General features: G+C 41.4%; 1 pseudogene across 1 annotated transcript in view; it reads left to right on the forward strand.

The window, feature by feature from the left end:
• Window positions 1-23,522, forward strand: part of HYDIN2 (HYDIN axonemal central pair apparatus protein 2 (pseudogene)) — a 335,703-nt pseudogene that overhangs the window by 189,264 nt on the left and 122,917 nt on the right. Inside the window, exons 24-27 of the transcript NR_103556.2 lie at window positions 3,414-3,652; window positions 7,471-7,744; window positions 15,364-15,507; window positions 17,235-17,548. The product of NR_103556.2 is annotated as an HYDIN axonemal central pair apparatus protein 2 (pseudogene) (transcript). The remainder of the gene's footprint in view (window positions 1-3,413; window positions 3,653-7,470; window positions 7,745-15,363; window positions 15,508-17,234; window positions 17,549-23,522) is intronic.

A 23,522-nucleotide genomic window follows, 5' to 3' on the forward strand; every position in this document is an offset into this window, starting at 1 on the left:
AAATGTTTCTTTTGATAAATTAGGAAGATGCATCAGAAATTATTTCTTTGAACCTAAGTATGGATAGAACATTGTAACATTCAATCCTTATAGTTTCTCTTGGCAATAATAATTGAGCTACAGTCCTGAAAATTAAATTTAATAGGATTATTATCTTTTACTAATATTTTAATACAAAATTATAAACAAATACAGATTAATGCTCTGGAGAGACAGAGACTTTGTTTACTGTTTTCTGATTATTTTAGTACTCTACTAGAACCAAGTTACTACGAATAGGAAAGTTATCGAGAAAATTTTGAAAAATAGATGCCTCTTGCAAGATTCAGCATTTTTTTCATGCGCATCCTTTGAATACAGACAATGATACAAACATCTCCATCCAGGTCCTACTTTATCTAGTGTGGTATTTAATGTTTAATTGTTTTTTTTTCTATTTCTATGTCTTTTTGGGATTTTCCATATTTGAAGATTATGAATAATAATAGGACTCTTGACTTAGAGTTATATCTATAGTTTCCATTAATACCAAAAATTAAAATTTCCTCATTATCATTCATCTGCATCCTCATTTATATACAATTTAAAACCTTGAAAAATGTTCTTCTTTCCTTTATTTAATTCATTTAAATTTTAAAATGCAATTTACTTATTTCCCGTGTAGATTTTCAAACCAGGAAGAAATATAACTAGCTTTCTGCTCTGTCTTACATTTGTCCTCAATTATAAATTGGGAAATTGACATTTTGCTTTAAATATTAGATTTTCCTTATTTAAGTACCTGTGAGCCTATTCCTAAGAGAGTGACCATCGGGCCCACTGACTGAATCTATTTTTTTAATCTGCAGTGGCGCCAGACCAGGATTTTGGTGACATTCCAAGGCACTGCCACCCTGTGAGATTCTGCCTGGCTGAAATCTCTAACTCTTGCTTGCAATCTGCAATGTACGTTTATGTCACTTACAGAGATCATCAGTGCAACTCTGACCTAAGTTTGTCAGGAGGTTTCCAGTCCATTGTACCTGAGCCCCCATAGAGCTACATGTGTTTTTACATTTCTCTTTTTTCTCCTTTTGCTAGAAGAAGTATATCATAGAATTAAATGAAAGGATAATCTTAGACTGGAATGTCCTCTAGAGCCCCGCTCAAATAGTAAAATTTGCATTTGTTTTCAAATCCATTGTTTTCTACTGTATGCGTTACTTTGGAGGGCTTCTTCTGCGGTACCAAACTCAGGGAGCTTCACGAAGCTTCCTGGGAGATTCACAAGGAAGATTCATGAAGGAATAATCAAACTCTTTTCTGATGAACTGGAGAGTGTGGCTTTTCCTCTCAGTTATTATCCTGGAAGCATCTAAATACTCTCCACATCTCTTCTTTTGCAGCTTTTTCTCAGTGCATATTGGTAATAACTAAATATTTTCTATAAAGATTAATCCACATAAGTACTTCTGAGTAATGTCTTTCCCAAAATAAAACAGGACTTTCATAATTGATCTAAATGACAAAGCAATCAAAATGGGGAAATGATTTATTTTCTTTTAAGTTCTAGGGTACTTGTGCAGGATGTGCAGGTTTGTTGCATAGGTAAACATGTGCCATGGTAGTTTGCTGCACCTATCAACCTACCATCTAAGTATTAAACCCAGCATGCATTAGCTATTTTTCCTGATGCTCTCCGCCCCCCTGCCCCCCGACCCCTGACACGCCCTGGTGTGTGATGTTCCCCTCCCTGTGTCCATGTGTTCTCATTGTTCAGCTCCCACTTATGAGTGAGAACATGTAGTGTTTGGTTTTATGTTCCTGTGTTTGTTTGCTGGGGATAATGGCTTCCAGTTCCATCCATGTCCCTGCAAAGGACATGACCTCATTCAAAAGGATGTTTTTTCTTTGATGCTTTTTATTAACTTTGAGATAATTGTTTATATAGGCAATTAAACAAATTAGAATTTTAGTAGTATTAATAATATAGTGCAATATAATTAGGAATCACATCACCTGATAATTAAGCCCAATTTCATATTTGGAAGGAAAAGAAAATGTGTGTGGTGCATTTGTCAGACATTCCAAGGGTTTCAACATCCTTTGCTCTTGTTCTTTAGATTCCCCTGAAGTAGTTTCACTCTGGCCTCCTTCTGAATTCCATTTTTGTTGTTGAAATATTGGTCTCACTAATGTCATTGCTGTCAGCTCCTCGGGGTGTTTATGTATTTCCCACAACACCTGGACCTCAGAGCCGTTGAATATGTATTTGTTATATTTACTTGAAAAGTCCAAAAACAATTTGCTCATTAAATTTGTAGAAGACTTGGAGGGGCTAGGAGGAGTGGTCCCTAATTATTAGTTGTAGTAGCTAGTAAGTTGAATGTCATAGTCAGAATTATAAAAGTTGTCAAAAGATGAAAACCTTATAAAAATCAAAAATACCAACACCTGAATTCAAAAATACAGAAATCAAAATTAAGGAGAGAATAGATGTGTTTAATAGCATATTACACATAGCTGAAGAGAGAGCTAGTGAATTGGAAGAGAGCTCAAAAGAAAGCATCAAAAATGAAGCACAGAAAACAACAAACAGAAAATGCAGATGAGGCTCAGAAACAGAGACAGGTTGAGAAATACAAATACTACTGTGTTATAGTTGCCTACAGTATTCAGTACAGAAACATGCTGCACGGGTTTTCAGCCTAGGAGCAACAGGTTATACCGTATAGCCTAGGTGTGTAGTAGACTCCACTGTCTCGCTCTACAATGTTTGCACAGCAACGAAATCACCTAATGACACATTTCTTAGAATGTTTCCCTGTCATTAAGTAACACATGTCTGTATTTCAAAATAAGTTTGCAATTTTAGCTAATGAAATTCTGATGAGGCTAATTATTAATTGTTATAAATTAGTAGAAATCCAGATGACTTCTTATATTGTATTAATTAAATTGGTTCATCCTCACTATAACACTAGAAATTTTGCATTTGAAAAACGTTTCTTTTAAAAATTTCAAACTCCAAAAAAAAAAAAAAACAAAAAGGAAAAATAAATAAGAATAAAAAATAAAAATTTCAAACTTCATAAAGAATATTGTACCTTCTGTTGGTATCTCAGAATCTGGAGATTATAGTAGATAATAATTATAAGCTTGTTTGAGAATTGGACTGTTATCTTGGGAAAGAGATGTAAAGAATCTTCACAGAGAATTCAAAAGTAAAATCGTAGGTTTGCTCTTCAGAATCAGATTGCTTTTTGAAAAAAAGGAAAACCAACAAACATCCAGCTGCTTTAATTCAAAAAATAATGTTTGTCTCTGATGTTGAATTCCACAATGCCACCCATTTGAAGTGTAGAGGGCTTTGACATCTATAGAACGAAAAGCCAAGAATATCTTCCCTGTTAACTTGTACTCTTGTGTTGCAGGCACACAAAAAATCCCTTTGGACGATTGAACCCAATGAAGGCATGGTTCCTCCAGAAACTGATGTTCAACTGGCACTGACCGCCAACCTGAATGACACACTGACATTCAAGGACTGTGTTATTTTGGACATTGAAAATAGCAGTACCTATCGGATTCCTGTTCAGGCTTCCGGAACTGGTTCCACTATTGTTTCAGATAAGCCCTTTGCTCCAGAACTCAATTTGGGGGCACATTTTAGGTAAGGAAATCTCATGGACCAATTTTTATAGATATCACATATGTTACATATGCTGAGCATCACCTCTACTTTAGAAAATTATTTTAAGTAATTAAAACTAGCCACCTCAGTCCCTCTCCTTTCCCATCCTCACTCTTCCACCTCCTGATGTGTATGTCAGCAACAAGAAGACATTTTCTAGCCATAACTTGGTTGCATTCTCTAATCCGTGTCCCTCTACATGTGAGAAGAATATGGTTTGTAGGAAATGCATTCTTTTCTCAAACTGGCCACTCTGTGATTAATTTAGACTCTCAACCGTAATTTCTCCTCTTTGATTCCAATACACTGTTAATCCCTCTCCACAAATGTAGAAAATACAGATACAGCTTAGTGGTAACCTAAGCAGAACATACCTAGGAAGGTAAAAATTTATTGCAAGTGTATTTTATCAGCTATTGCAGAGCCAGCAGCTTTTTTTTTTTTTTTTTTTTTTTTTTTTTTTTTTTGAGACGGAGTCTTGCTCTGTGGCCTAGGCTGGAGTGCAGTGGCGTGATCTCTGCTCACTGCAAGCTCCGCCTCCCGGGTTCACGCCATTCTCCTGCCTCAGCCTCCCAAGTAGCTGGGACTACAGGTGCCCACCACCACGCCTGGCTAATTTTTTGTATTTTTAGTAGAGACGGGGTTTCACCGTGTTAGCCAGGATGGTCTCGATCTCCTGACCTCATGATCCACCTGCCTCGGCCTCCCAAAGTGCTAGGATTACAGGCATGAGCCACCATGCCCGGTCACTAGCAGCTTTTGCAAAGCTTATGTCCTCTACTTGACTCCCATAGTACCGACAACTGAGATGGTTTCCATTGGCTTTGCCTGATTACCCAGGAAAAGCTAGAGGGTCTAAATATTTAAATAAGCTGTGGTACAGTATAGACACCTCTGAGCAGAACAATCTAAATGTGGACATAAAAATCAGGTTTGGACCAGGCACAGCAGCCCACGCCTATAATCCTAGCAGTTTGGGAGGCCAAGGCAGGAGGATCACTTGAGTTCAGGAATTCAAGACCAGCCTGGACAACATGGTAAAACCCCATCTCTACAAAAGTACAAAAAATTCTGGGCATGGTGGCGGGTGCGTGTAGTCCCAGCTACTCAGGAGGCTGAGGTGGGAGAATCACTTGAGCCCAAGAGGCAGAGGTTGCAGTGAGCCAAGGTCGTACCACTGCACTCCAGCCTGGGTGACAGAGTGAGACCCTGTCTTAAAAAAAAAAAAAAAAAGAAAGAAAGAAAAGAAGAACAACACACACATATACATATACACACACACATATATATGTATACACACACATATATAAGGTTTGGGCTGGGAGCAGTGGTTTATGCCTATGATCCCAGCACTTTACTTTGGGAGGCTGAGGTGGGAGGATTGCTTGAGCCCAGGAATTGGAGACCAGCCTGGGCAACATAGGGAGACCCCCCATCTCTACAAAATAAAAAAATTAGCCTCGCATGATGTCACATGCCTGTTGTCCTACCTACTTGGGAGGCTGAGGTGAGAGGATTGCTTGTACCCAGGAGGTTGAGGCTACAGTGAACCAGGATCACACCACTGCAACTCCAGCATGGGCAACAGAGCAAGACTTCATCTCAAATTAAGTGAATAAATATATATATGAGGTTTGAGTGCTAAGCGCAGAGGGTATGTGTGGGGATTCTTGATTCCTCAGGAGAGTCATGTCGCCATCACTAGTTGGCTCTTGGGGGCCAGTTGAATTTGAACTTATCCGTTGCAGTACTGTGAACAGATCTCAGAAGGTATTCCCCCTGACTTCTGGGCTCACAGGCCCTGAAATCAAGTCATATATGCTGTGCTTGGAGATGTGACTGACATTAATCAGTTAGGAGCCCTCCCCAGAATCCTTCCCTCTGCTCCATCTACAAAATATGGGACTTGATTGAAAATACCATAAACTAGTAGAAAATTAAGTAAAAAGCAAGTCACATGGTTGAATTGCATGCTTTTAGACAAGTATCCAATTATATTTTTCAAGTCGACTAAATATAAGAATTGTCCTCTCTGCCTGTCTATTGGCCGTAAGCGAGGGTAGTTTGTCATTGCATACCAGTGCTTCTAGTTTCAAATTTCTTTTCGTGCACTCAAATATAATTGTAGAAAACAATATGTGGCAAACCAGACCTAATTACATGTTCTTTTAAATCTACAAATAGTGTCAAGTAGCCTTCAAAGGATATTCTGACATATGGAATTGGAGGGTTAGCTAACAGTTTTCTATGAATATAAAAGCAAACTGTAGCTTTAGTTGCTAATTTGCCCTCTGCCTAAACTTTTTGACATAAAATCACTATGCCTGCAGTCTCCAGAAGAATTGTCAAAAGCAGGGCTGGGTAAACTACAACCCTCTGCCTGCTTTTGTAAATAAAGTTTTATTGGAACACAGCCATGCCCATTTCTTAACATATTGTCTATGGCTGCTTTCACACTACAAGGGAAAGTTGAGTAGCTGTTACAGAGACCGTGTGGCCCAAAAAGCCTAAAATATTTGTTATTTAGCCCTTTAAAGAAAAAGTTTGCCAACGTCTGGTCTAAAGAAATAGCCATACGCTGCCGCTTCTAATTGCATATTTTTAGACAACTCCCTTAGGTTTTCAGAGCTTCCATTTCTTGATCTATAAAATGGTAGTAAATATACTTATCATGACTGGATTGCTGTGATGATTGAAAGATATACTGTGAATAAGTAACAGACATCCTGCCTAGTCTTTATAAACAGTATGTGTTTTTTATAAACAGTATATGGTTTTTATAAACAGTATATGTTGTTTATTATTTCCCCCAAAAGCCTACTGTTAGCCATAAACTACCAAGTAAAGAAGCTCCCTTGAGCGTGCCCCGTGGACACAGATTCACAACATATGTAGCTAGAAATGGTTATACCTGACAACTAGCAAATATTCCTTCTGATTGTTTATTTCATGGTTCAACTTACCAGGCATGATGTCATTTCCTAAGGAGGAACAGATGGGATGAAATCTCAAAGCCTAGTAAAATTTAAAAAATAAAAAACAGTCCCGAGATGAGTTTTTCCCTAAGAAAATATTTTAAAGTAAGCCTGTGGGAAAAAAAAAAAAATCCCAAACAAACAAAAACACATTTGAACCATATCCGAGATCTTAGAAATCCCAGTTTTTTTTTAGCAAATAGCCAGGCAGTCGGGACGTTCTTAGTAAATATTTGTGGAATATATGAATGCATGATGAACAAATGAATACATGAAATTGCAACATCTTTAAAGCACATTAGTCTGAGATGGGTGACCAATCCCGGTGGTGTTCTGGCCCATTGCAGTCCCCCTGGCCTCTGTTAAAGCTTAGAGAATATGCATGGTTTTTCTTCAAAGCTTCCTTCAAATTGAGCCCATTATTATGGGACATTCCACTCAGTCACTAGTAATTTTCTCAGCACAGCTTGAAACTCGCTTCTCCTCCAGTAGGTATTTTGCTTTCCTTTCACTCCTCAGAGCTATTTTTCTAAATGGGATTGCTTTTCACATGAACTGTGTGTGTCCTGCAGTGTGTGGGGCCTGCTGGGGAAGACTTACGGGGAGTGGAGATTTTCCACAGCCCCTTACCTGGTGATGCCAACTCTGTGTTAGTTCCTAGTGGCATCGTGACTTAGTCTTCCTACATTTAAAAAAAAAAAAAAAGTCTTATATTGTTGCTCACCATTTTAAATACTTCCAGAAGAGTAAATCCCAAGGGTGTAGAGCTGAACAGAACATCCCTAAATGGAATCCTCTCAACACCTGCCTCGTCTTTTCCAGCCTGGATACCCACTATTACCACTTTAAGTTGATCAACAAGGGACGTCGGATCCAACAGTTGTTCTGGATGAATGATAGCTTCCGACCCCAGGCCAAGCTGAGTAAGAAGGGCCGGGTTAAGAAGGGACATGCTCATGTCCAACCCCAGCCCAGTGGCTCTCAGGAGCCCAGGGATCCACAGAGCCCCGTGTTTCATCTCCACCCCGCCAGCATGGAGCTGTACCCAGGCCAGGCAATTGATGTGATACTCGAAGGCTATTCTGCTACTCCCAGGGTAAGGGGACAGCACATTTGGAAGCTATTGTTTTTTCCTAAATAAATCTCTACTGTATCTATTTCTTAGGAAAGTCCCTTGACATTTATCTGAGGAAGGATATGGTTTCTCAAGGATTGTGTACAATCCTGAGTTACCATGGTAGCATCCGTTGCTTTCGGGGTGCAGCTCTGCTCAGTCTTCGATTTGTTTCTGTAGCTACTGTGAACCCAGTCTTAAAGGAGGTTCTCATGCCCAGGGTCCACAGTGACCAGCCAGCAAGTCTCTGGTAGAAAAACACCCAGTTTTTAGCCAAAGCAAATTCTCCTATTAACACTTAGCAGGATGAATTTAATATTCATTCAAAAAGGGTGTTTATATCGACACTCTGGGCTGCCTCTCCTGTTCAGGTATTGGGACATCCCTGTTCCTTTCTTTCCAGCCTGACTGCAACTCACATTTCAAAACACCTTCTTTTTATGCATTAATAAAAGAGCCACATTTATCTTCAGCAACTCTGATTCCCTGCTTTTATTTACATGATCTCCATACACTCTACGTAAAACGTTTCAGTAGATCCAAATCATGTGTGTTTCTTTATCCCTATTCTCTCACAGAGTGTGGAAACCATTAAAAACCTAAAGGAAAGGCTTTCAAAGTCACTTAAGAGTCTCTCCCTCCCGACAAAATGCAGACCTTGTAGATGAGAAATGATGCTTGCTTAAGATCCTGCTTGTGTTGCCAAATTTGGAGGTGATACTGACTTTTCCCCACATTAAATAGGAAGCAAAAAGAACTTTGTCTCCCAGTAGACACAGCTGGAAAGCTAGTCCCTTGCTTAGCTTCTCTAAGGTCACAGATTCCACTTTATTTCATTAGATTATTTCTTCATAGAGCATTTTCAGGTAAAACGCATCCTCAGTTCAACAAAAGGGGGGGTTATCTCTCATTGTGGAAAAGGTAATGTGTTCCTTCTCTCTGTTATTCAGGTGATCAGCCAACTTTTATTGTGTGTATACCATGTGACAAATACTGTGCTAGGCACTGAGGATGTAAAGATGAATAGAACACAGGCCCTTATCTCAAGACACTGACAGCTGTTGGAAGAGCATATTTATAATGTGGTTATCAAGAGTTGTCCATATTTTTGAAGGCATTAATTCTGAGCTGCTGGGGGACTAAACTCAGCTTAAGCTTTACTAAAAGCATCCCCGAATGTTCTTTTTTTTTTTTTTTTTTTTTTTTTTTTTAGACGGAGTCTCGCTCTGTCGCCCAGGCTGGAGTGCAGTGGCGCGATCTCGGCTCACTGCAAGCTCCGCCTCCCGGGTTCACGCCATTCTCCTGCCTCAGCCTCCCGAGTAGCTGGGACTACAGGCGCCCGCTACCACGCCCGGCTAATTTTTTGTATTTTTAGTAGAGACGGGGTTTCACCGTGTTAGCCAGGATGGTCTCGATCTCCTGACCTCGTGATCCGCCCGCCTCGGCCTCCCAAAGTGCTGGGATTACAGGCGTGAGCCACCGCGCCCGGCCTCCCCGAATGTTCTTCTAAATCATGCTACATAATTGAGAAGAGACTGGAATGCATTAACATCCCTAACCTGAGCACTCTTCTATATAACCTATTCATGCTGTAAATTCACTTTTGATCCTTTCTGCTTTATAAAAATCTAGGCTTTTTGAGTCCAAAGAAATATTAATTCCTAATGCATGATTTTTAAATGTTTAAGTATAAAAGGCAAAAATTTGGCCGGGCACAGTGGCTCACGCCTGTAATCCCAGCACTTTGGGAGGCCGAGGTGGGTGGGTCACCTGTGGTCGGGAGTTCGAGACCAGCCTGACCAACATGGAGAAACCCCGTGTCTACTAAAAATACAAAATTAGCCAGGCGTGGTGGCACATGCCTGTAATCGCAGCTACTTGGGAGGCTGAGGCAGGAGAATCGCTTGAACCGGGGAGGCAGAGGTTGCAGTGAGCTGAGATTGCACCATTGCACTCCAGCCTGGGCGACAAGAGCAAACTCCATCTGAAAAAAAAAAGGAAGAAAAAGACAAAAACTTTCCAACTACAGTTTTCAATAGTTGATTAAGAAATCATGTAACCACCTTTGAACTATAAGCCCCATGAAAGATTTTATCTGTCTTGTTCATCAATGTTTTTACTCCCAGAACTGAATGTAAATCAACTGCCTCAGGGCAGTCAGAAATAAATACAGAATCCATCAAGGCCATGTGTAACTAACAAAAACATAATCATGTGACAAAGAGCAGTCCCTGAAACGTGCTGTTCAGAAAAGTGTGCTCTTCCTTGTGTCCCCAGGCAGGTAGTCGGAAATCCATTTTCTCTCAGTGGGTAAATAAGTATTCTGAGTAAGTATTAAGTTATAGTTGTTCCCCAAATGCTGGCTTATCTCACTGGCAGATAGTGAAAGAGAAGCTGGTGTGCCACGCCATCATCGGGGCACAGAAGGGGAAGAGCTTGGTGATGGCTGTGAACATCACCTGTGAGTTCGTCGCACCTCTCATCCAGCTCTCCACCAAGCAGCTCATCTACCGACTGGAGAAGGTCAGTGAGGTGTGCTGGCGAGGGCTGGGTGCTTCGACTAGGGTCAGCATGTTTACATTTTCATTTTGAAAGCTGAATTAATGGGCATCCTTTTCCACCCATTACTCAGCCCATGTTTTTTAAGCTTCAGAGGCCAGTACACATTCAACTAAAAATTCTGAATCTAAACCTACAATCCTTTGACATGTAAGTTGCTGTGGAAATTCTATTTCCATCATTCCTGATGTCTAAGACCTAAGGAAGTGGCATTCCAGTGCACTGAATATGCATTTTAGTCAATCATCTTACTTTAATCAGGTAAAATAAACCCAAGGCAGAGGAAGGATTGGAGTAGAATTATTGATAATTATAATTATCAGTAAGAGTATCTACCACTGATTGATTAGTACGTGCTAGACATGGAGCCATGTTCATTACGTACATTTACCCAGTAGTCCCTCACAACAACCATATGCAGCAGGTTCTGTTATCACACGAGGAAATGATGTGTGATGTGATGCACACGAGGAAACTGAGATACAGGTTAAGCTGGAGAATAATCAACTTAAAGTATTAGATTCACACTCTTTAACTTAAATGGCTCTACGTAAGGGTAGACAGTAAATGTCAGAGTCAGGGGACAAGGGAGAGAAGGTAGTGGCTGCTGCTCAGGGCGGGGGGTCAGGATAGTGAAGAGATGGGGTGGAGGAGATATCACAATAGGCTTGACCTGCCCCTAGATAGGCTTCCATCCAGAATTAATTACCATTCAAGACATGTAAGGAATGTCTGTTCTGAGTTGGGGATTGAGCTGGTACTGGAAATCTAGTGAACCAGACAAACATAACCAAAGCTAAGCTGGCTGACTTTAAACAAATTATTAAAATTTAATTGTTGAAGTCACCATTATAAACATTGCTATTAAGAAGAGGTGCAAGGTGCTGGGAGGGCATGTATTAGGAGACATGATCTTGTTCGTCCATGTGGTCATGAATGACTTTCTTGAGCAAGTGCCTCAAGTTGAGACTACAAGTAAAAATAGAAGCTAGTCTGGTGACAAGGGAGGGGGAGAGAATTGTAGGCAGAGGGACTAGCTCACACGAAGGGCTCGAGTTAGGAAAGGCCACCTTGGACAGAGAATGTGCCAAGGATGGCAAAAGTCCATCTGGAGACGTGCAGTCTGCCTGGAAGGCATTATCTGAACTTTGGGTTTTGTTCTGGATGGCCATTGGAGGGCTTCCAGGAAGGGAGTGACATGGTCAGATTCACTGAAACCATCATGCTGGCCACTGAATGGAATGTTTATTAAGGCCTATCATGTGCTAGGCACAGTGTTGGGGGCTAGAGATACAACAGTCAGAACAGTCCTCCCTGATAAATTTCACAGCCTGCTGGGAAGACCAAGCATTAAGTAAGTCACTGCCCCACAGTGTGATCTTTGCTGTCACACAAAAACATTGGGTGTGGTAGTGCCTAACCAGTCATGAGGTATCAACTGGGGTTCCTTTCATTACCTGGAGGTTTGCAGAAGAATGTTCAAGACCATTTATTTTGGTAGTGGATTCCATCATATTTTGTTCATTAAAACAAATTAGTATCTGTTGATTATCACCATGGGAAAGATGTTCTGCTAGGAGATGAAAAAAAGAGCTTGTGGTCCAGTAGGAGAGGTGAGAGGTACAAGTTCAATTCAAATCAACAAGTAACTTTTGAGCAGGTGTATCGGTCACCTACAATATATAAGGCAGAAAAGACACAGCAAAGACCATGGTTTATCAGTCTCAGGAAACTTACACAGGAACAGAAAACCAAACACTGCGTGTTCTCACTCATAAGTGAGAGTTGAACAGTGAGAATACGTGGACACAGGGAGGGGAACATCACACACTGGGGCCTGTCGTGGGGTCAGGGGCAAGAGGAGGGAGAGCATTAGGACAAATACCTAATGCATGTGGGGCTTAAAACCTAGATGATGGGTTGATAGGTGCAGCAAACCACCATGGCACATGTATACCCATATAACAAACCTGCACGTTCTGCACATGTATCCCAGGACTTAAAATAAAATAAAATAAAATATCCATGGCTTGGCTTAATAGATGAGTGGGGAAGGTGGACATTGTTAGTTTAGCTTCCCGTCACTGAAACCCAAGCTAAACCCGAAGCCAACAAGCTCCATGAGACATGTAAAAGGAAAATACGACAAGAGTTCCTGCTACAGTTATTAAGCTTTATTGCTCTATTTTAAATTCTTCATTTTTCAGTAATCAGGAAAGATATTTATTGGCAACAGCTGCACTGAAGTTGGTGGCATTGTATTTTCCCTGAATGCCATTATTGGGAGAAAACTCAGTGAATATTTATTGAATAGCTATTCTGGGCAAGACGTAATATATGTTAAATATGCAGCCTAGTTTCTTATTAGATTTCTCTAAGCCCATAAACACTAATAAAAATGTGTGGGTAGTGCTCTTTTTCTTCTCTTTATATCCTTATGCCTTTTGCGGGGGGCATGTTTTTATTTAAATGTCTACTGTTTGAATTTATTACTAGATTAAAATATGTACATATTTGGAATATGGCGGTAACTTCTTATTCAATCAAAAAGTGAATTGAGCTACAGTTCCCTGCTTATTTTTTTCCACCCTTCTCTCCTTCCCCACAAAGATGAGAAGTTTGAAATCTGTCCTATTACTGTATTTTTCATTTTCATTTCCTGCTCACATTTAATCCACATCAGGGACAATGAAGAAATGCAACTTCATTACCCAGCATATGCAAGAGACTTGTTAGGTCTCAGTATTCAGATTTAATTGTATAACATCCAATTATCTGTTCTGTCTCCCTGATTTCAGCTCAAGGGCAGTGGATCTGATTTGGTACATTAGAATATAATGGTACCAACCCTGTCTATGGGAAGAATTTTTCTATAGCTGTTTCCTCAGATTTGGTCTACTTTATATAACTATTGTACCATTCATAAGCCACGGAGATGAAACCACATCTCTGTGGGATTGAAAAGGTCAATTGAAACTAGCAGCCACTTTTCTTCATGAAGTTCCAGCAGCACATTCTGTCTGCTGATATTTGGGGAGACGAACAACTCAAAGAGAAGGGGTCATTTTAAAATAGAATGGCCTCTCTGTACTTGACTCCTTCTCATCAGTAGCCTCTAAATGGCCTCTTGCCAAAACCAACCAAGTGTGGCTTCTGTACTTCAAAGCCATCTGCAGTGACACAGCAGCCTTCAGGGAAGGTCACTGGGTGGACAGTTCTCCATGCAGCCTTAGTAGGGCCCAGAGTACTGCTTCATCCCTCCCTAAACCATAGTATACAACCCGCAGAGGCAAGGTGAGTCCGCTTCCATGCTACCCCATATTAGAGGGAGGGAAACAAAGGCTGGTATCTCATGGTAAACTCCAGACCTAATCCCTAAAGTCACCCTGGGAGTGCACAGGGAGACTCATAGAGTACAACCAAGGCATGAGGCTCGAGCCAAGGGACACTGGCCACCTGAGCTCACCCAGGAACCACAATGGAAGGAAGACTGTGCTAGGCATAGAACTGGAAGACAGAGTCATATCAAAGTATGAAATTAGGAGGGCTTAACTGATATTGGCACAAAGAGAAAAGGCAAATGAAAACAAGGAGGCCTAGGAAAGACAGACTAGAATTGTCAGAAGACCCAGGGGATGATTGGAGGGAGGTTCTTTTTGGAGGCCAAAGATTGAGGCTCCTGGTCACCCCCTGATGATACTAAAGAACCCTCTTTCTAGGGAATACAAGAAATAATGTGGGCCCCAACATCAGAATGAGAAAAATCCAGTCTGGCCAGAAACTCTCAACTCGAGATTCATTTCCGATGCCTTCTCTAGTTGAAAAATTAAATCTGGGCCGGGCGCGGTGGCTCACACCTGTAATCCCAGCACTTTGGGAGGCTGAGGCGGGTGGATCATGTGGTCAAGATATCGAGACCATCGTGGCCAACATAGTGAAACCCCATCTCTACAAAAAATACAAAAATTAGCTGGGCATGGTGGCACGTGCCTGTAATCCCAGCTACTTGGGAGGCTGAGGCAAGAGAATCACTTGTACTCGAGAGGCAGAGGTTGCAGTGAGCTGAGATCACACCACTGCATTCCAGCCTGGGCGACAGAGCAAGACTCTGTCTCAAAAAAAAAAAAAAAGAAAAATTAAATCTAATTTATCTAACAGAGTAAAAAGATACTTCTAAATCAACTATCCTGGTATTATCAGGAAAAGTTTACAGGAAATAGGTCTGATCATTTGTCAGTATAACAAGATATAGGCAAATCAGGTATTTTAAGCCTGGAAAAATATTATACAAGGGAAAAATGTTTTATTCATTATAATGATAGCTATATTTATGCATAAGATATAACTAACTTTTTAGACTTTGTCTTATGACACTGTGGAAGGCCCTATAATAATAGTTCTATCCAGAAACATGGCTTCTGTAGGTTTTCTCAATTAGGCACCAAGGGGGTAAAAAAATCTAATCTGTGTTGTCTGGGTTATGTAGGTCCACTTTTCAGTAGTCCACTACACATCATTCCACATGATTTATCTTTTTTTTTTTCCTTGAGACTGAGTCCTACTCTATCACCCAGGCTGGAGTACAGTGGTGTGATCTCGACTCAGTGCCACCTCTGCCTCCTGGGTTCAAGTGATCTTCATGCCTCAGCCTCCCAAGTAGCTGGGATTACAGGTGCCTGCCACCATGACTGGCTAATTTTTGTATTTTTAGCAGAGACGGGGTTTCACCATGTTGGCCAGGCTGGTCTCAAACTCCTGACCTCAAGTAGTCCACTGGCCTCGGCCTCCCAAAGTGCTGGGATTACAGGCATGAGCCTCTGCGCCCGGCCTCCACATGATTAATCTAAAGTTCTACAAGGGAGAAAAATGTATGTATACATCTACATATATATGCATATATATACACACACACACACACACACACACACAAAGAAAAAGAAAGATTGCTAAATTTGTTCTAAACAATGAACCTGAGACTTGTTGCTAAAAGCTTACTGTATTTACCATAAGTTGATTTGTTTCCTCTTTTTCTGTTTTTGCAGAAACCTAACAGTATCCTGAAACCTGATTACCAGCCCTTGGCCGTAAAGAACATTTCCACCCTGCCCGTGAACTTGTTGCTGTCAACATCTGGACCCTTCTTTATATGTGAGACTGATAAATCCCTGCTGCCGGCAACTCCTGAGGTACCTTAATAGGGGGCTGTTCTGGCAAGCTGTCTGGGGTGGGGTGGGGTGTGATAAAGGAAGAGAAGAGTAATGATACACCACCCAACTTCAGCTCAGAAAGATGTAAAGGATCCAGGAAGCAAACAGGGAAGACTACAGAAAATTTAAAATGAGTGGTAAATCAGATGGAGAAACTGAGGCCCAGTATTTTGCCCAAGGTCTCACAGCTAGTAAGTGGCAGAACCAGGATTTGGACCTAACTACTCTGGCTCCAGAGCCTTTAATCTTAGAAATTAATATCCCTTGTATACGAAACATTTCTTCAAGTCTTTTTTGAGAAAAAATTCAAATATGGTGTTTTTTAGAAAATAATGTAGTCTAATTCCATTTTTGTAAAATCCTATTATTCCTCTCTCACGTCTGGACTAACATCTACCAAATGATAACTCTGAGAAATAATGTATTGTGAAATTTGGGATAAATTTCTCGTTTCTTCTTTGTGCTTTTATATATAATGTAAATTTTTGTATCATTTCTACAAAACAATAATGTCATTTTCCTGGAAAAAAAAAAGTTAAGTCAATCTTCAAAACATTTAATCACCAAGCATGGCGATACCGAGTGCTACAGATGCCGTGATCTACAAGGGTGGGTCCTAACTTATGCCCAGCCCCTTGTGCCAGTGGTAAGATTAAAGGCCCAGTGGCTGGCCTGGCTTTCAGCTGGGATTAGGCCAATGCTGAAGAGTCATTACTCTCTCTGACTGTTGAATCAGGTGAGTGGCTTTATCAACCGAAACCATCTAATCATGTCATTAAATGCACAGTTAAATACCAGAATCGTTTAAGCCCAGTGGAAAGATGAGGTGCACTGAAAACAGATTCATTCCTGTGTCCATTCTTCCCAACTGCCTTAGGGCACTTGCTGCAAAACCACAAGGTGGCTTTCATGCCCATTAAATGTGGGAATTGAGCAATGCCTAAAAAAGCCAACTCATAGCCAGCCTTTCTACGGGAAGGTGTTACTGCAGACACTGGCATCAAGGAACACATAGGGATTGGAATCAAAGACAGAAAAGAACAAATAAAATGTACTGAACAAATGCTGTTCAGCTCTGGACTGTCATTTTAAGTTGAATAGAAAACAGCAGAAAGTGGATGACACTGTGCTTAAAAGTTAGGATTGCTGACATTAGAAAAGAAATTAAATTACCTAATCTGTCCCTTTCTGGGTCACTCTCTACAGAGCCCCCCACCCCCAACCCCACCCCCCAGTGCTTTAGAAAACCCTTTTAAAAATTTCTTAAGCAAAGAATTTTTCCCACTTGCCTAAGGGCATTTCACAACGAAATTTATTTTTAGTTAAGAATATTTTATAATAGTTATTCATTGTAGACTTTTCCTTTACAACTGCTCAATTCTTATAAACCCACACAACACTTATCAAAATCTCTTCCTTTAAATAATTCCAGATTTTCCTTGCTTTCATTTTCAACTAATAAAATGTGTATCCATATACATAAGTGTCTATACTTAGATGTACTAGCTGTTTACATATGAATGTGTATGTGTATGTTTTTCATACTAATATGTGTGTTTATATGTGTATGCACAAATATGCATGTATCTGTGTGTGCATAAATACATGTAATGTGTATGTGTAAATACCTGGCTGTCCTGTTTCATGTACCAGGGTGGAAATGCATAGTACAAAAGTTAGTAATTTCCCCATTATCTTGTTTGTAGCCTATTAAACTGGAAATTGATGAAGAAAAAAACCTGCTGATCAAGTTTGACCCTTCCTACAGAAACGATCTGAACAACTGGGTGGCAGAAGAAATTCTAGCAATTAAGTATGTGGAACACCCTCAGATAGACAGCCTGGACCTGCGCGGAGAAGTGCATTACCCCAACCTCAGCTTTGAGACAAAGGAGCTGGATTTTGGCTGCATCCTGAACGATACTGAGCTCATTCGCTACGTTACCATCACCAACTGCAGTCCGTTGGTTGTGAAGTTTCGCTGGTTCTTCTTGGTGAATGATGAGGAAAATCAGATAAGGTACCCCCAGCACAGAACTCTCACAGAACTCTGCTTTTCATTTGTTTTCTCTTTCAGGCTTTTCATGGGGTTTTCTGTATTCCATGTACTGGCCATTCATGAATATTTTCCATTTTGACCACTAATTATTGACAGAATTAACAAGGAGCTTAAAATCACGATCCATCCTCGATTTCCTAACAGGAAACATAGATAAAACATCTTTGAAAGTCCCAATCACCACCGAATTAACAAAGCAATATCCATAAGCCCACTTTATTTTTGAGTCTAGTGATAAGACCATTAGAAATTCATCACTAAAAAATAAAGTCTTTGTAGAATTGTTTAAATTATTATTTTATTGTGGTAATATATATACAACTTAACAAATTTTTAAGTGTACAATACAGTATTATTGACTATAAGTAAACCAGATTTCTAGAACTTATCTTGCTGCACTGAAACTTTATGCCTGTTGCCCATTCTCCTTTCTCCCCAGCCCCCGCAACCACCATTCTACTCTTTGATTTTATTAATTTAACTATTTTAACTACCTCATATAAGTGGAATCATGCAGTATATTAGTCTTTTTCACACTGTTATAAAGAACTGCCTGAGAATGAGTAATTTATGAAGAAAAAAGTTTTATTTGACTCACAGTTCTACATAGCTGGGGAGGCCTCAGGAAATTTACAATCATGGCAGAAAGTGAAGGGGAAGCAAGGCATATCTTTCATGACAGCAGGAGAGACAGCAAGTGAGAGGGGAACTGCCAAACACTTTTTTTTTTTTTTTTTTGAGACAGAGTTTCGCTCTTGTCGCCCAGGCTGGAGTGCAATGGCGCTATCTGGGCTCACTGCAACCTCTGCCTCCCAGGTTCAAGCGATTCCCCTGCCTCAGCCTCCCAAGTAGCTGGGATTACAGGTGCCTGCCACCACGCCTGGCAATTTTTTTTTTTTTTTGTATTTTTAGTAGAGATGGGGTTTCACCATGTTGGCCAGGCTGGTCTCGAACTCTTGACCTCAGGTAATCCGCCCGCCTCGGCCTGCCAAGGTGCTGGGATTACAGGTGTGGGCCACCATACCCAGCCCTGCCAAACACTTTTAAACCATCAGATCTCATGAGAACTCACTCACAATCACGAGAACAGCATGGGGGAAACCACCTGCGTGATCCAATCACCTCTCATCAGGTCCCTCCCTCAGCATGTGGGGAACACATTTTGAGATGAGATTTGGATGAGGACAGAGAGCCAAACCACGTCATGCAGTATCTTCCCGTGACTGGCTTATTTCATTGAGAATAATGTCCTCAAGGTTCATCCATGTCATTACATATTGCAGAATTTCCTTCTTTTTTAAGTTTGAACAAAATTCTAGCCCCTTGTATGTATATAACAAATTTTCTTTATCCATCCACCTGTTGATGGACATTTAGCTTTTTTCTACATCTTGGCTATTGTGAATATTGCTGCAATGAACATGAGAGTGCTAATATCACTTTGAGATTCTGATTTCAATTCTTGGATAAATACCCAGAAGTGGGATTGCAGAATCACATGGTAGCTTTATTTTTAGTTTTTTAAGGAACTTCCATACTGTTTTTCACAGTGGCTGCACCATTTTGCATTCCCAGTAACAGTGCACCAGGGTTTCAGTTTCTCCGCATCCTCACCAACACTTGTTTATTGTTTCTTTAGTAACAGCCGTCCTAACAGGTATGAGGTGATATCTCATTGGGGTTTTTATTTGAATTTCCCTGATATTTAATGACGTTGAGCATCTTTTCTATACCTGTTGTCATTTGTAGATCTTCTCTGGAGAAATGTCTATTTAAGTCCTTAGCCCATTTTTAAATTAGGTATTAGTGGTTTTTTGCTATTGAGTTGGAGTTCTTATGTATTTTGGAGATTAACCCCTTATCAGATATATGGTTTGCAAATATTTTCTCCCTTTCCATAGGTTGAATTTTCATTCTATTCTTTCCTTTGCTGCGCAGAAGCTTTTTAGTTTGATGTGGTCATACTTGTTTACTTTTGGTTTTGTTGCTGCAGAATTTTCTTGAAAAGCATTTCAAACTCAAAGCACAGACTGAGTAGGACCCTACATTGAGTATGTGTAGCACTGAGCTCCATGTTGCCTGCTTTACATATTTCAATGGGTTTCTGTTCTGGTTCATTTATGTATATGTATAGACATACACATAATTATAAAATAGTGGGAGGCAGCGATTGCTGCATTTTCTTCTTAGTTGGCAACCAGAACTAATGGGCTTTGTATATTTCCTTATTGGATGTTGTGACACTCAGTTGTTGGCATGTGAATATTGGACGGCCATTCTTAACTGAGGAAACCTCATGTTGTTTCCTTAGGGGCTTGTCAGTGCTTCCTGTCCATAATCCTCATCTTATGTATGACAGTCACCCTCTTCTCTCCTGCACTTGTTACCACGGTAACGATGGCTCGCTCTGAATGTTTTCCGTAGACATCTAACGATGACCTAGCGAAGCACTGAAGCCGGCAGCCGGTCCTGGGCCTGAGCACTGGAGTCTGCTCATTAAGTGCCAGGGACTGTTTGGGTTTGGAATGAAATTCTGTAGATGGTGAACATTTAATATAATTATGGAAAAATCAGCCAACCCGACCTAATGCACTTCAAATACCAGATTTTGTGAAGTGATTCTGATGTAACATAGCTAAATGAGTTTATTCCATCTGGGAGCAAGGACATGCTTCATTTATTTTTTTATTTTTGAGAGGCTACTTTCATAATTAAAGTGATGAACTTTTGAAAATGTACTTGGCCACTACTGAAGATGATACACTTAATTTTTCATTGGTTTAAGCATTTATTTAACCGTTTTTCTCTTTCTTCGGCATCTTCCTATCTCTTAATATTGAGCCTCTGCTTATAACTTGTTTATTGATTCATTTACTCAATCAGAGAGTCAGTCAGAAAACATTTGATAAGTGATTATTGTGAGCCACATATTGAGGAATCAGCACTATAAAAGTGAACAAGACGTGACCCTTGTCCTCAGGCTAGTGGAGAAAGCAGACATGTACCAAAGTGGACATGTGGCCATGCTGGGCTCTGTGGGTGGGAGGCCTGTGCCCAGAGAAGTCAGAAAAGGCTACATTGAGGAGCCACAGTTAAATATTCCAGATGGAGAGGCAGGAAGACATTCTGAGTAACAGGAATAGCATGTATCTATTAGTTAGAATTCATGGGTTCACTCTATGGCAAGTCATTGAAAACCTGACCCTAAGCAAAAATTAAAGGAAAGGAAATTCATTGGTTTTCACGACTCAAAATTCCAGATTCGCTTTGGCTTCTGGCCTGGCTTAAAGCAAGGATCATACAATGTCATCATTGGAGCCAGGTTCTCTGTCTCTCAGCTCTGCTCAGTTTCTTGTGTTAACCTCATTCCCAGATTAGCTTTTCTCTCCTAATCACCCAGTGGCTGCCAGCACTGCTGGGGCCATGTCCTTTTACACTCCGATCCACTGGAAAACAATATGAGGTCTTTCTCCCACAACTTCCAGGAGATTCACTCCGATCAAACTAACTGAGTCACATTTCTGTCCCCACTCCTCATCATTCACTGTCAGGGGAGGGTGATGCACTCATCATGGTTGACCTGGTCACATGCCCGCCACCAAAGGCTGTGGATCATGATCTCTGAACCAGATGGACTGGAGGGGGTGGGAATGGGGTCACCAAACAAAAACTGACAGAGGGAGAATCGATGCTGGAGAGCAAATGACACGCTTCTACCATGATGTTGGCGGAGGGTACGTCAGCGTGGCTGGTGGGCAGACCTCACTGGGTGGGAGAAGTTGTGGGAGGTGAGTCTGGAGAGGTATGTTGGCAGAAGTGTGTGAGAGACCTGATATTCCAGAAGGAATTAACGCTCTTTCTTGGAGGCAGTGGTGGGATTTGTAATCAAGAAGGTGACAAAGGTTTTTGCAGAAAGGTAACGCTTAGCAGCATTCAGCACAGCGACCAACCCCACCTTCCTGAAATACATTCCTTTCTCGCCTTGCAGAACACCGTATTCTCCTGATTTTCCTCTTGTCCCCTCAACAACTTCTCAGTTCTCTGCCAGCAACAACTCCACTGGAGTAGAAGGATGGAGGGCTCCATCCTAGGCTTTCTCCTCTTCCTGGAAATTGATGCACCCCCATAGCTCCAGTCAGCTTCTTTTGCTAAGGCTTCCCAGTGCCTGTCTTCACCGAGCCCCCTCTGCTGAGTTCCAAGTCTGTTGCCTTCTTGACGTCTCCTCTTGGACATCCCTTGGATGCCTCCCAGGTGATTTATGCCTAGCGTGTTCCACATAAGCTCTGTTCCCTCCCTGCTCACCCCCAGACTCTCCTCCAGGGCACCCTGTCCCAGTAAATGACATCACTGCTCTCCTGGGAGGCATTAGGATTTCTTCCTCTCTCTAACCCCACCCACCCTATCAAATCCACCACCAACTTCTACCTATTCTGCCTTCTGAAAACCTCATTCCCATTTCCACTGCTGTTACCCTGGCTCAAGCCACCATTGCCTGTTACTGTGGTCACAGCCCTACCTGGGCTTTCTGCTTCCACGCATGCACCACAGCTCCTACTCCCCTCAGTAGCCATGCCACTGCCCTGGCGTTAAGCCTTTAGTAACTACCTGTGCTTCTTGGAATAAAGTACAGAGCACTCACTCTATTCTGCAAGGCTCAGCATGTGCTGGTCCCTGCGTTCCTCTCCAGATTTGCTCTGTGCTTCTGGCACTGACCTTTCTGTTTACCCAACACACCGGCCTCTGTCCTGCCCAGTGCTGTTCCTGTCCAACTGCCCCCTTCTTTGCTGGAAGCTCCTCCCCAGCCCCACCTAGCTGTCCCTGGCCCTTCTTCAGACTTCAGCTTCACCATCCTTCTGCAGGGAAGCCTTCTCCAAGATCCATCCTTAGGCCAGATCCCCTGTCATGGACATTGGTACTCCCATCTCCTTGGTGATTCACATCACGCCTCTGCTTATGGCTTGGTGTCCATCTTCCCAGCATCTCTTAATCCCTGTGAGGCCAGCAAGCACACCTGCCCTATCACCTCTGGAGCCCCAGAGCCCAGCACAGTCCCCAGCACAGAGTACATCCTCAAAGGGTGTTTCTTGGTGAATCAGCTGCTCCCACCTGGGTATTTGTAGAGAGAAGGAGATCATTTCATACCTGGCTTGAGATTCCTCTCTCTCAGCTTCCTGGCACCCGCCAAAGAGAAAGGTTCCAGGCATAAATGTCACCTAGAATAGACAAAAAAAAAAAAAAAAAAAAAAAGCCACCTGGTTTCCAGACAGACTGTCTCTGTGTAGGACGTCTGAAAAACATAAACCACTCTGGCTAAAGGTCACTTTTATCAGATATACACGAACACTAACCTTTCTTATCCAGTTAGGATTCTTCTAAGCCTTACAGTTAGTAAAAGACACAGAAGTGTAAGAGAGGGTTTTCTTTTTCTTTTATTAGATAGGTCTGAGGTCGCCTATACACTCTCATGTTCCTTCACAACACATGTACATCTGCGGTGCGCGTGCATGCACATGTGTGCATGTGACTTTGTAGGCAATTCTCACTCATCTATTTAAAGCATCCCTCTTGTTTGAGCACACATTTTTTCCCCAAGTTGGCCCTCATGTCACATCTAAGAAAAAAGAAAGAAGTAAAATGGACAAGCATGCTAAATAAGTCCTCGGTAAGAGGAAAAGGCAGCCATTGCCTTTGAAGCCTGTGAGTTTGTGCCCGTGACAGGAACCTGGGTCAACCATGGTGGATGGTGGTCTCTCCCCCTCCCACATCTGCATGTAATGAGAAAGCTGGCATGAAGTGCCGGGGCTGGCCATTCATGACCACACAGCTGTCGCTGCAGGAGCCACCCTTTTATTAGGTCCATCTCTTCAGTCTAACTGATCAGCTTGATAACAACACAATGCTTCATGGCACCTGTGTGAAAGAGAAGCACAAGGAA

Source organism: Homo sapiens, chromosome 1 (assembly GCF_000001405.40).
Source record: "Homo sapiens chromosome 1, GRCh38.p14 Primary Assembly".
NCBI classification, from domain to species: domain Eukaryota; kingdom Metazoa; phylum Chordata; class Mammalia; order Primates; family Hominidae; genus Homo; species Homo sapiens.